At 36.5% G+C, this 14,565-nt stretch overlaps 1 pseudogene; it reads left to right on the top strand.

Annotated features, from left to right (window-relative positions):
• Positions 1-11,351, top strand: part of SEPTIN14P1 (septin 14 pseudogene 1) — a 29,233-nt pseudogene extending 17,882 nt beyond the window's left edge.

The following is a 14,565-nucleotide window of genomic DNA, read 5'->3' as shown; positions in this document are numbered from 1 at the left end:
ATGGTAGTTGTTTTATTTTTAATTTTTTGAAGAAGCTCCATACTGTTTTTCATAATGGCTGTCCTAATTTACATTGCCACCAACAGTGTACAAGGGTTCCCTTTTTTCCACATCCTTACCAGCACTTGTTTGTCTTATTGATAATAGTCATTTTAGCATGGGTGAAGTAACAGCTTATTGTGTTTTAATTTTTTTCTTTTTTTGAGATGGAGTTTAGCTCTTGTTGCCCAAGCTGGAGTGCAATAGTGTGATCTCGGCTCACTGCAACCTCTGCCTCCTGGGTTCAAGCAATTCTCCTTCCTCAGCCTCCCTAGTAGCTGGGATTACAGGCACATGCCACCATACCCAGGTAATTTTTTTTTTGTATTTTTAGTAGAGATGGGGTTTTGGCATGTTAGGCAGACTAGTCTCAAACTCCTGACCGCAGGTGATATGCCTGCCTCAGCCTCCCAAACTGCTAGGATTACAGGCATGAGCCACCACACCAGGCCTTTGTTTTTTAATTTTTAATTTTTATGGATACATAGTAGGTGTAAGTATTTATAGGGCACATGAGATATTTGATACTGGCATTCAGTGTGTAGTAATCACATCAGGGTAAATAGAGTACCCATCAACTCAAGCATTTATCCTTTCTTTGTGTCACAAACAATCCAAGTATACTCTTTTAGTTATTCTAAAATGTACAATAAATTATTGTTGACTGTAGTCACCTTCTGTGCTATCAAATACTAGATCTTATTCATTCTATGTAACTATTTACTTGTACCATCAACCATCCCCACGTCTCTTCCTCCCCAGTCCTTTCCTAGTTTCTGGTAATAAACATTCCTCTCTTTATCCCCATGGGTTCAATTGTTTTAATTTTTAGCTCCACAAATGAGTGAGAACATGTGAAATTTGTCTTCCCGTGTCTTATTTCACTTAACATAATATCCTCGGTTCCATTCATGTTGTTGCAAATGACGGGATCTCATTATTTTTTAAGGCTGAACAGTACTCTATCATGTATATGTACCACATTTACTTTATTCATTCATCTGGTGATGGATACTTAGGTTGCTTTCAAATTTTGGCTATTGTGAATACTGCTGTAACAAACATGGGAGTGGAGCTATCTCTTTAATATACTACTTTCCTTTTTTCTGGGTATATACCCACTAGTGGGATTGCTGGATCATATGGTAGTTCTATTTTTAGTTTTTTTGAGGAAACTCCATACTTTTTTCCGTAAAGACTGTACTGATTGACATTCCTGCCAACAGTGTACAAGGATTCCTTTTTCTCCACACCTTCACCAGCATTTGTTATTGCCTGTCTTTTGGATAAAAGCTTTTTTAACTGGGGTGAGATGATACCTCATTGTAGTTTTTATTTGCCTTTCTCTGGTAATCAGTGATGTTGAGTACCTTTTCATTTGCTTGTTCGGCATTTTAAAACACCCACAATGAGCAGTTACTTCACACATGTTAAAACGGCTATTATCAATAAGACAAAAGAAGACATTTTTATGTCTTCTTTGGAGAAATGTCTATTCAGATCTTTTGCCCATTTTAAATTGGATTATTAGATTTTTTCCTATTGAGTTGTTTGAGTTACTTAAATATATTCTGGTTATTAATCTCTTGTCAGATAAATAGTTTGTAAATATTTTCTCATTGTGTAGGTTGTCTCTTCACTTTGTTGATTGTTTCCTTTGTTTTGCAGAAGGTTTTTAATTTGAGATGATCCCATTTGTCTATTTTTGCTTTGATTGCCTGTGCTTGTGGGGTATTACTCAATAAACATCCTGAAGAGTTTCCCCAATGTTTTTTATAGTAGTTTCATAGTTTGAGGTCTTACATTTAAGTCTTTAATCCATTTTGATTTGATTTTTGTATGTGGTGAAAGATAATAGTTTATTTCTTCTGCATATGGATATCCAGTTTTCCCAACACCATTTATTGAAGAGCTTATCCTTTCCCCAGTGTATGTGCTTGGCACCTTTGTTGAAAATGAGTTCTCTGTGGCTGTATGGATTTATTCCTGGGTTCTCTATTCTGTTCCATTGGTCTGTGTGTCTGTTTTTATGCTGGTACCATGCTGTTTCACTAATGGCTTTGTAGTATAATTTGAAGTCAGGTAATGCGATTCCTCCAGTGTTGTTATTTTTGCCCAGAATTGCTTTAAGTATTTTTTTGGTTCCATATACATCTTAGGATTGTTTTTTCTTTTTCTTTGAAGAATGTCACTGATATTTTGACAGGTATTGCATTGAATCTATTATAGATTGCTTTGGGTAGTATGGACATTTTAACAATATTATTGATTCTTCCAATCCATGAACATGAACTATGTTCTCATTATTTTGCATCCTTTTCAATTTCTTACATCAGTATTTATAGTTTTCATTGTAGGGATTTTTCATTTCTTTGGTCATGTTTATTTCTAGGTATTTTATTTTATTTATAGCTATTGTAAATTGGATTAGTTTTTTTCAGATTTTTCACTGTTGGCATATAATAATGCTACTGATTTTTGTAGGTTGATTTTGTATGTTGTAACTTTATTAATTTTGTTTATCAGTTCTAATAGTTTTATTTTGGTGGAGTCTTTAGGTTTTTCTGCATAGGAGATCATATCATCTGCAAACAAGGATAATTTGACTTCTTCCTTTCCAATTTGGAACCCCCTTATATCTTTCTCTGGTCTTATTGCTCTAGCTAGGACTTCCAGTTGAATAACAGTGGTGAAAGTGGGCATCCTTGTCATTTTCCAGATCTTAGAGGAAAAGCTTTAAGTTTTTTCCCATTCAGTATGATACTAGCTGAGAGTCTGCCATACATGGCTTTTATTATGTTGAGGTATGTTGCTTCTATCCACAGTTTTTTGAATTTTTTTATGATGAAGGGATATTGAATTTTATCAAATGCCCTTTCAGCATCAATTGAAATGATCATATGGTTTTTGTCCTTCATTATGATACCATACTGATATGATGTACCATATTGATTGATTTGTGTGTGCTGAAGCATCTTTGCATCCCTGGGATAAATCCCACTTAGTTGTGGTGAAGGATTTTTAATGTGTTGTTGAATTCAGTTTGCTAGTATTTTTTGAGGGGTTTTTCATCAATGTTCCTCAGAGATATTGGCCTGGAGTTTTCTTGTTTTGATGTGTCTTTCTATGGTTTTGGTATCAGGGTAATACTGGCCTTGTTGAATGAGATCTGATTTATTCCCTTCTCCTATATGTTTTAGAATAGTTTGAGTAGAATTAGTATTGGTTCTTTAAATGTTTGCTGAAATTCAGCAGTGAAGCCATCAGATCCTGGACTTGTCTTTGCTGGGAGACTTCTTATTATGATTTTGGTCTCATTACTTGTTACTTGTCCTTCAGGTTTACAATTTCTTCATGGTTCAATCTTGATAGTATGTATATGTCTAGGAATTCATCAATTTCTTCTATGTTTTTAAATTTATTGGCATATAGTGGCTCACAGTGGCCTCTAATGAGCCTTTGGATTTCTGCAGCCTCAGTTGTAATGTCTCCTTTTTCTTTCTTTCTCTTTTTTTATTTTTAGAGATGGGGTCTCACTATGTTGCCCAGGATGGTCTCAAACTCCTGGCTCAAGCAATCCTCCTGCCTCAGCCTCCCAAAGTGCTGGGATTACAGGCATGAGCCACTGCACCTGGCCATTATGTCTCCTTTTTCATCTCTGATTTTATTTATTTGGATCTACTCTTTTTCTTTCTCAGTCTGGCTAAAGGTTTGCAGATTTTGTTTATATTTTCAAAAAATAAACTTTTCATTTCATTGATCTCTGGTATTTTTTTCATTTTAATTTCATTTCTTTCTGCTCTGATTTTTATTATTTCTTATACTAATTTTGGGTTTAGTTTGCTCTTGCTTTTCTAGTTCTTTAAGATGCATTGTTAGATTGTTTATTTGATGTTTTTCTACTTTTTTTGATGTAGGCACTTATTGCTATAAACTTTGTTCTTGGTACTGCTTTTGCTGTGTCCCATAGGTTTTGGTATGTTATATTTCCATTTTCATTTGTTTCAATAAATTTTAAAATTACCTTCTTTATTTCCTCATTGACCCACTGGTCATTCAGGAACATATTGCTTAATTTCCATGTGTTTGTGTAGTTTCCAAAGTTCCTCTTGTTATTGATCTACACTTTTATTCCATTGTAGTCAGGGATAATACTTGATGATTTCATATTTTGCATTGTTTAAGACTTGTTTTGTGGCCTAACATATGCTCTATCCTTGAGAATATGCTACATGCAGAGGAGAAGAATGCGCATTCTGTAGCCATTGGATGAAATGTCCTGTAACTATCTTTTAGGTTCATTTGGTCCATACTGCAGATTAAGTCAGGATTTTTTTGCTGATTTTCTGTCTGGATGATCTGTCCAATGCCGAAAGTGGAGTGTTGAAGTCTCCAGCTATTATTGTATTGGAATCTTTCTTTTTCTTTAGCTCTAATAATATTTCCTTTATATATCTAAGTGCTCCAATGTTGGGTACGTACATATTTATAGTTGTTATGGCCTCTTGCTGAATTGATCCCTTTATTCATAAGTAATGAACCTTCCTTGTCTGTTTTTACAGTTTTTGTCTTGAAATGTATTTTATCTTATATAAGTATACATTTTCGTGTTCTGTTTTTGTTTCCATTTGCATGGAATTATCTTTTCCCATCCCTTTATTTTCAGTCTATTTGTGTCTTTTTAAGTGTGTTCTTGTAGGCAACGGATCATTGGGTCTTGTTTTTTTTGTTGTTGTTTTTTGGTTTTTGGTTTTTTTTTGAGACAGAGTCTTGCTCTGTCACCCAGGCTGGAGTGCAATGGCACAATCTCGGCTCACTGCAACCTCCACCTCTAGGGTTCAAGCGATTCTCCTGCCTCAGCCTCCCGAGTAGCTGGGATTATAGATGCCCACCACCATGCCCAGCTAATCACTCTGTGTTTCTTGATTGGAGAGTTTAGTCCATTTACTCACATTCAAGGTTATTATTGATAAGTAAGGACTTACTCTTATCATTTTGTTATTTGTTTTCTGGTGACTTTGTGGTCTTGTCTTCTTTCTTTCCTACCTTCTTGTCTTCCTTTTAGTCCAGGTGATTTTCTCTGATGGTATACTTTAATTTCTTGCTTTCTATTTTTTGTGTATCTATTGTATTTTTTTTTGAGATTACCGTGAGGCTTGCATATAGCACCTTATAACCCATTATTTTAAACTGATGACAACTTATCACTGATTGCATAAATGAACAAAGAAACTAATGAATGAGCAAAAAACTAATAAAAACTTTACACTTTAACTTCATCCCTCCACTTTTTTAACGTTTAAAAATTTTCTATTTCTATCTTATACTGTCTATGTCTTGAAAAGTTGTAGTTATCATTTTTGATAGGTTTACATTTTAGTATTTCTACTACAGATATGAGTGCTTTACCCACTACAATAAGCTTGTTATAACATTCCATGTGTATCTGTATACTTACTATTAGGTTGGTGCAAAAATAGTTGCAGTTTTTGCTATTAGAAGTTATGGCATTAAAAGTAATGGCAAAAAACACAGTTCCTCTTTCTTTTTTTTTTTTTTTTGTTTTGTTTTTTTTGTTTGTTTTGAGACAGAGTTCCCAGCAGTACACTGTTCCCAGCAGTAACCTCAGCAGGGAACAAGCACATCTCCCCTCTGGCACTCATCTCTCCTCCCCCTCCCCCTCCTTTTCCTCCTCCTCCTCCTGTGGGAGGTGCTCAATGGGACTTTGGGATCTTTCACCTGCTGTGTCCAGTAGTTCTTTGAAGCCCACTTGTGAAACAGTGTTTGTTTTTTTGTTCTTTGGGTTTTTTTTTGAAATAGAGTCTTGCTGTGTCACCCAGGCTGGAGTGCAATGGCATGATCTTGGCTCACTGCAACTTCCGTCTCCCAGATTCAAGAAATTCTCCTGCTTCAGCCTCCCAAGTAGCTGGGATTACAGGCACGTGCCACTACGCCTGGTGAATTTTTGTATTTTTACTAGAGACGATGTTTCACCATGTTGGCCAGGCTGTTCTTGAACTTCTGACCTTAAGTGATCCACCTGTCTCGGCCTTCTGTAGTGCCAGGATTACAGGCATGAGCCTCTGTGCCTGGCTGAAACAGTGTTTTATGTTTATCCCTGTTTACAGAAGACCAAATACTGGTTTGGTGACAGCTTCCACGTCTTACTCTTCTACCTCCCTAGTCAGTGGGAATTTGGATAAGGGAATTGTAGGGCTTAGATTCTAGGGTTTTTATGTGACTGATCACAAAATAATTCTCTCTAAGCTATCTATGGCCCAGTGGTCCCTGCCAAGTCTGTAGATTTCAGAAACCACTTCTCTTTTATGGGGCTCATGGGGGCAGGGGCAGGTGTGATTTGCCTGGTGGCCTCATTCCCTGTGTTTAGCCTGTGTCTGGGGCATGGACTTTGTTAAATGGAGTCAACAGTGAGGCCCTCATGCTGCAGCCAGCCTCTCTGCCCCAGAGAATCCTGTGCTGTGTTCTAAGAATTTGAGAACTAGAGTCCTCACCCCCAGGCTTGAGGGCACATGGTTTTCTCAAGTAGGGCTCATTGTGGTATTTGTTATTACTTTACAACAAGACCATTTTAGTAATACAGTACCTTTCAAGTTTAATTATTTTAAGTTCTTTTGTTCTCCTTTCTTTGAGATTTTTGTGTATATTGTATATATTATACACACACACACACACACATATATATTTTGTATATATTTTTCTTCTGAGTAATGGTATCTCTAAGCTGATTTGTTGTAATCAGAGCTGATACCTGCTTTCAATACATGCTGGTTTTGTGTTTAAAAAAAATTGGAGAAGACACAAATAAATAGAAAGTTACCCCATGTTCATGATTAGAAGAAATAATATTGTTAAAATGTCCATACTACACAAGTGCTCTACAGATTTAATACCATTCCTATCAAAATTCCTAAGCCATTTTTCACAGAAGTAGAAAAAAATCCTAAAATTATACAAAACTAGAAGAAACCCTGCATAGTCAAAACAATTTTGGCAGAAAACAGCACAGCTGAAAGTATTGTACTCCTTGATTTCAAGATATATTATAAAGCAATTGTAATCCAAACAGCATGGCACTGGCATAAAAACAGACACATTAATCAACATAACAGGATAGAACGCCCATAAATAAACTTAAGTATAGTCAATTGATTTTTGACCAAGGTGCCAAGAACATATACTGGGCACAGTATGGTCTCTTCAATAAATAGTATTGATAAAACTGGATATTCACACACAGAAGAATAAAATTGGACTCTTATCTCACAGCATGCACAAAAATCAACTCAAAATGCATAAAAGTCTTAAACTCAATACTTAAAATTGTAAAGCTATTAGAACAAAACATAGGGGAAAACCTCCATGACATTGGTCATGACAATTATTTCTTGAATAGAACTCCAAAAGCTGGCAGGGTGCAGTGACTCACGCCTGTAATCTCAGCACTTTGGGAGGCTGAGGCAGGTGGATCACCTAAGGTCAGGAGTTTCAGACCAGCCTGACCAACATGGTGAAACCCCGTCTACTAAAAATACAAAAATTAGCTCGGTGTGGTGGTGGGTGCCGGTAATCCCAGCTACTCTGGAGGCTGAGGCAGGAGAATCGCTTGAATCTGAGAGGCAGAGGTTGCAGTGAGCTGAGATCATGCCGCTGAACTCCAGCCTGGGTGACAGAGCGAGACTCTGCCTCAAATAAAATAAAATTGAAAAAAGAACTTCAAAAGCACCAGCAACAAAACAAAAGGAAACAATTAATAGCATGAAGATATAACCCAGAGATTGGCAAAAATATTTTCAAATTATACATCTGATAAGGGGTTAATGTCCAAAATATACAATACTTTTGCTGTGACTCTAACAACTCAATAGCAAGAAAACAACACAAGGAAAAATGGGCAAAGGATCTGAATAGGCATTTCTCAAAAGAAGAAACACAAATGGCCAAAAGAAATATGAAAAAAATAGCATCTCTAATCATCAGGAAAATGTGAATTAAACACATGATGAAGTATCATCTCATGTCTGTTAGAATGACTATTATCAAAAAGACAAACGATAACAAGTGCTGGCAAGCATATGGAGAAAAGAGAATTCTTTTTTAAAAAAATTTGTATTTATGTTCAGGGGTACATGTGCAAGTTTGTTATGTAGGCAAATTCCATGTCATGGGAGTTTGGTGTACAGATTACTTCATCACACATAATAAGCATAGTACTGGCTGGACGCAGTGGCTCGAGTCTGTAATCCCAGTACTTTGGCAGGCCGAGGCGTGTGGATCACCTGAGCCTAACCAACATGGCAAAACCCCATCTCTACTAAAAAATACAAAAATTAGCCGGGCATGGTGGCGTGCGCCTGTAATCCCAGCTACTTAAGAGACTGAGGAAGGAGAATTTCTTGAACCTGGGAGGCGGAGGTTACAAGTTTACAGTGAGCCGAGATTGTGCCATTGCACTCCAGCCTCGGCAACAGAGCGAGACTCCATCTCAAAAACAAAAAAAAAATGCTCGCTTCGGCAGCACGTATACTAAAAAAAAAAAAAAAAAAAAAAAGGAAAAACATAGTAGTTTTTCTATCCTCACTCTCCTCCCACCCTCAAGGAGGCCTCAGTGTCTGTTGTTCCTCTGTTTGTGTTCATGTGTTCTCAATATTTATCTCCCACTTATAAAAGAGAGTATGTGATATTTGGTTTTCTGTTCCTGCATTACATCACTTAGGATAATGGCTTCAGCTTCATTCATGTTGCTGCAAAGGACACGATCTTGTTCTTTTTTTTTATGGCTGTGCAGTATTCCATGGTGTATATGTATGTTTTCTCTATCCAGTCTACCACTGATGGGCATTTAGGTTGATTCTATGTCTTTGTTATTGTGAATAGTGCTGTGATACACATGCCTATGTCTTTATGGTAGAACAATATATATTCCTTTGGGTATAAACCCAGTAATGGGATTGCTGGGTCAAATGGTAGTTCTGTTTTAACTTCATTAAGAAATTGTCAGGCTGGGCACGGTGGCTCATGCCTGTAATCCCAGCACTTTGGGAGGCTGAAAAGGGCGGGTCACCTGAGATCAGGAGTTTGAAACCAGCCTAGTCAACATGGTGAAACTCCGTCTCTACTAAAAATACAAAAATTAGCTGGGCGTGGTGGTGGATATCTGTAATCCCAGCTACTCGAGAAGCTGAGGCAGGAGAATCGCTTGAACCCAAGAGGAGGACAGAGGTTGCAGTGAGCTGAGATCGTACCACTACACTCCAGCCTGGGTGACAAGAGTGAAACTCTGTCTCAAAAAAAAAAAAAAAGAAAGAAAGAAATTATCAAACTACTTTTCATAATGGCTGAACTAATTTATATTCCCACCAGCAGTTTATATACATTCCCAAGAGAAAAGGGAATTCTTAAACATCATTGGTGGGAATTTAAGTTGGTACAGCCATTTTGGGAAATAATATAAACGTTCCCTCAAAAACTAAAAATAGTATTACTGTATGATCCAGCAGTACCACTTCTGGGTATGTACCCTAGTGGAATGAAATTGATCTGTCAAAAGACATCTGCACTCACATTTTTATTTCAGTCTTTTAAAATATATTAAGACTTATTTTGTGGCCTAACATATAATCTGTCCTGAAGAATGTCTTGGGTTTGTTTGAGAAGTATGTGTATTACATTGCTGTCAGATGAAATATTCCACATATGTCCATTAGGTCTGTTTGGTCTAAAGTGTAGTTTAAATCTCACATTTTTTTTTTACTGATTTTCTGGCTGGATAATCTATCCAGTTCTGAAAGTAGGGTATGTAAGTTTCTTACTATTATTGTAATATAGTCTATCTCCCCCTCAGGTCTGTTAATATTTGCCTTATATATTTAGAAGCTCTGATATTGGGTCCATATATATTTACAATTTTTTTTAATGAACTGACCTCTTCATCATTATATGACCTTCTTCATATCACTTTACAGTTTTCGACTTAAAGTCTATCTTCTGTGATGGGAATATAGCTCTCTGTGCTCCCTCTTTTAGTTTCTAATTGCATGGAATATCTTTCCAACTAAAGTATGTATAATTGTAAGGCCTTTTTGCTAGCAGAATTTACTTTGATAAAATTATTTACACTAGTGATGTTATATTACATATTCTGTTAGCACTCCAAAATACCCAGAGGTAGTTTATAACATACAACACAATTGTTAACCAAAACCTGTAGCATATATACATATAAAATATTTCACTCTTTCCTGCTTATTCTTCAGGTAATAACTTTAAAGCAAATTTGCTAACCTATAAATAATCTCTGCCTATAGTTGGTATGTGTAGTACAACCACACTTACATGGTTTAAAGAATTATAGCTATTAATCAAATTGTTCAGTTGTGTGTTGTTTTAAATGTGTTTTTTACTCATGTATTCATTCATTATTTCATGATTTCATTCATTCATGATTGTCAGGGATTGATAATGAGTGTGGTTGATTCATTATTATTTTTTTACTAGTGGAAAATGAAAATCACTGTGACTTCATTAAGCTCTGAGATACGCTTCTTTGTACCAATATGGAAAATCTAAAAGAAAAAACCCACACTCAGCACTATGAATGTTATAGGTACCAAAAACTGCAGAAAATGGGCTTTGCAGATGTGGGAACCAGCCAGTTAGGTGAGTAAAATATTGCTAACACAACCAAATGGATAATTTAGGAGTCCCCTACAAACACAAGGTACAATAATTTGGGCATGAGAATAATTATACTTCTCCCATCTTGAACCATCCTAAAGAAAACATCTTGAATGTTAGGTGTTTTTATCATCTTTTGATGAAGATAGAGATAGTTAGTAGGAAAAACACAATGTGAGATCTCATTTTTATGCTGAAATATGTGTATACAATATGTATATAAGCTGAAATGTGTATCAAAGAAAAAACCTAGTATTCTATTTTTTGTATTTATATGAAAGGTATATTTATTATATGAAAGACAGGATAGGCTGGGCACAGTGGCTCATGCCTGTAACCCCAACAATTTGGGAGGCCGAGGCGTGCGGATCATCTGAGGTCAGGAGTTCAAGACCAGCTTAGCTAACATGGTGAAACCCCGTCTCTACTAAAAATACAAAAATTAGCTGGGCATGGTGGTGTGCGCCTGTAATCCCAGCTACTCGGGAGTCTGAGGCTGGAGAATCACTTGAACCCAGGAGGTGGAGTTTGCAGTGAGCCGAGATTGCATCACTGCACTCCAGCTTGGGTGACAGAGCTAGACTTCATCTCAAAATAAAAAAAAGATAAAGAAAAAGGTAGAAAAATATTAGTAAAGTTTGACAAAAGATATTAAGAAGAGTTTGATGGAGGAACCAGCTGAAAAGCTGTAGTGCAGTGTCCTGGAAGTTAAATGAGAAAAGTTTGAGAGCAGGTGTACTTCTCTAACTTGAAGAAGAATACAGCTGGGTGCGGTGGCTCCTGCCTGTAATCCCAGCACTTTGGGAGGCCGAGGCAGGCAGATCACCTGAGGTCAGGAGTTTAAGATCAGCCTGGCCAACATGGTAAAACCCTGTCCCTACTAAAAATACAAAAAAAATTATCCGGGCATGGTGGCGGGCGCCTGTAATCCCAGTTACTTTGGAGGCTGAGGCAGGAGAATCACTTGAACCTGGTCAGCGGAGGTTGCAGTGAGCCAAGATCATGCCACTGCACTCCAGCCTGGGCAACAAAGCAAGACTCTGCCTCAAAAAAAAAAAAACACAAGTAGGACTCGTGCTGCAAAAATATGGCACTGTAGTGTATATAATCCAGTTATATCATTTGTTGTTCTCTGCAGACACTAAAAATTTGACTATCTTAAATGAATAATATTTTGAAAGACTCTTTGCTTTATTTTAGACTATTTTTGAAAATTGTCCCATACATTAGAGGTTTCCCTGAATTTTATTGTCAAAAGATGTGAAGAAGTATGATATGCTGGAAAGTGGTGGGGATAAGAATTCACTCATACAAGTGTTGGAAAATTCTAGTATTCTTTACATATACTCTCTATATACTCTGATCTTAAGTATTATGCCTTGGTTTTTACATCTTATGATATGGAAATTTCCATTTTGTGCTGCTAAACATGAGAGAATGTTGGCAGATTTCCTTATATAGGACGTTACATACAATACATATTTTTTACATGTTTATACTAGCATTATTTTTTTTTTGAGATGGAGTCTTGCTCAGTCTCCCAGGCTGGAGTGCAGTGGCACAATTTTGGCTCACTGCAACCTCCTCATCCCAGGTTCAAGCGATTCTCCTACCTCATTTTAATATAAGACTAAGAAAACATTTCTCTTTAGTTTTCAAGAAATCTCTGAAGCCAAAAGACAAGAGTTCTATGATCAATGTCAGAGGCAAGAAGAAGAGTTGAAACAGAGATTTATGCAGCGAGTCAAGGAGAAAGAAGCAACATTTAAAGAAGCCAAAAAAGAAGTCAGTACTGAAGTTGGATATAATTTGCACTAATTTTTAGGTGCCCAATTAATTTGGGGGTTTAATCTCAAGAGTTTAGTTTTTGGAGGATACTTGCTGTTTTTCAAAAAGTAACTTTTTACCATGTAGATTGGAATATAGCCTTTACAAAAGTATAGTCTGTAGTGTTTTTTCAAGAGAACTTAGATAATTTTCCATTTAAATAACCCTTAAGATCATTTTATAAAAATTTATTTATTTTATTTATAATTTAAATTTTCATGCACAAAGTTTAATTTGTGACAAACCCAAGCTATTTACTTTTGAGAAGAGTCTTGTACTGTCTAATGCTATTAATGCACTAGAAAATTGTCTTCACTTTTATAAATAAGCAAATGTTGACTAATGCTGGCCTTGATTAATGAGAAAATTTTAAGTTGGTAAATTATTTTATTCCATGCCATTTCTAATAAAATGGAAAAGAAGGCTATTAATATAGTTTTAATTGCCACAAATACATTTTTGGTGAAGACATTTTTGAAACCATAATTTCTTTCTCTCAAGTGTAGGTGGCTTTAGTTTAAGAACATTTAGTGTTGTTAGGTAAATTGGAACATGAACTTCCTTTTTCATAAAAATAAATTGGTAATTAGGCGCTATAGGCCAGATGTCTCACTCAAAGACAGTTGAATTATAAGTAATAAAAGTTTTGGCCGGGTGTGCTGGCTCAAACCTATAATTCCGGCACTTTGGGAGACGGAGGCAGGCAGATCACCTAAGGTCAGGAGTTTGAGACCAGCCTGGCCAACATGATGAAACCTCGCCTCAACTAAAAATACATAAATTAGCCAGGCCTCGTGGTGCATGCTTTTAATTCCAGCTACTTGGGAGGCTGAGGCAGGAGAATTGCTTGAAACTGGGAGGTGGAGGTTGCAGTGAGCCAAGATCGTGCCACTGCACTCCAGCCTGGGCAAGAGTGAGACTCCTTCTCAAAAAAAAAAAAAAAATCCATTAGCTTAGGTACAAAGGAAAAGTCTGGATGTATACAGGGGTATGTCATGGCATCCAAGAACAAGAGGCATAGCTGAATCTCATGAAGACTTAAACTGAAACTAGAAAGTGAGCAGAAACCAAAGCAACCATTTAAATTTTCTCTTTCTCTCCCACCTCACTTCCCTTAGTTATGAACCTTATTCCTGTACGTCTGCTTCTTTTTTTTCTTTCTTTCTGGGGATTAGTTTCTTTTTGATATCTCAACTATGTGGTCCCTTAGGATTGATTACATATCTTGATTACTGTTAATTAATGCTGCAATAAACATGAAAGTGTGGATATCTCTTTGACATACTGATTTTATTTCCTTTGAATATGTAACTATTAGTGGGGTTGCTGAACCATATGGTTATTCTATTTTCAATTGTTTAATGAACTCCCATATTGTTTTTCATAATAGCTGTACTGATTTACATTTTCATCAACATTTTATAAAATCATTATTGTAAACACTTATCTTTCTTTTTTTTGGTAATAGCCATTCTAACAGATATGAAGTGCCATCTAATTGTGGTTTAAATTAGCATCTCTCTGATGATTAATGAGGTTGAATATTTTTTCATGTCCCTATTTGCCTTTTATGTCTTATTTATTTATTTATTATTATTATACTTTTTTAGGGTACATGTGCACAATGTGCAGGTTAGTTACATATGTACACATGTGCCATGCTGGTGCGCTGCCCCCACCAACTCGTCGTCTAGCATTAGGTATATCTCCCATCGCCATCCCTCCCCCCCACACCCCACAACAGTCCCCAGAGTGTGATGTTCCCCTTCCCGTGTCCATGTGTTCTCATTATTCAATTCCCACCTATGAGTGAGAATATGCGGTGTTTGGTTTTTTGTTCTTGCGATAGTTTACTGAGAATGATGATTTCCAATTTCATCCATGTCCCTACAAAGACATGAACTCATCATTTTTTATGGCTGCGTAGTATTCCATGGTGTATATGTGCCACATTTTCTTAATCCAGTCTATCATTGTTGGACATTTGGGTTGGTTCCAAGTCTT

This window comes from Homo sapiens, chromosome 7 (genome assembly GCF_000001405.40).
Source record: "Homo sapiens chromosome 7, GRCh38.p14 Primary Assembly".
Classification (NCBI taxonomy): domain Eukaryota; kingdom Metazoa; phylum Chordata; class Mammalia; order Primates; family Hominidae; genus Homo; species Homo sapiens.
This window is presented reverse-complemented; position numbering and strand designations above follow the sequence as displayed.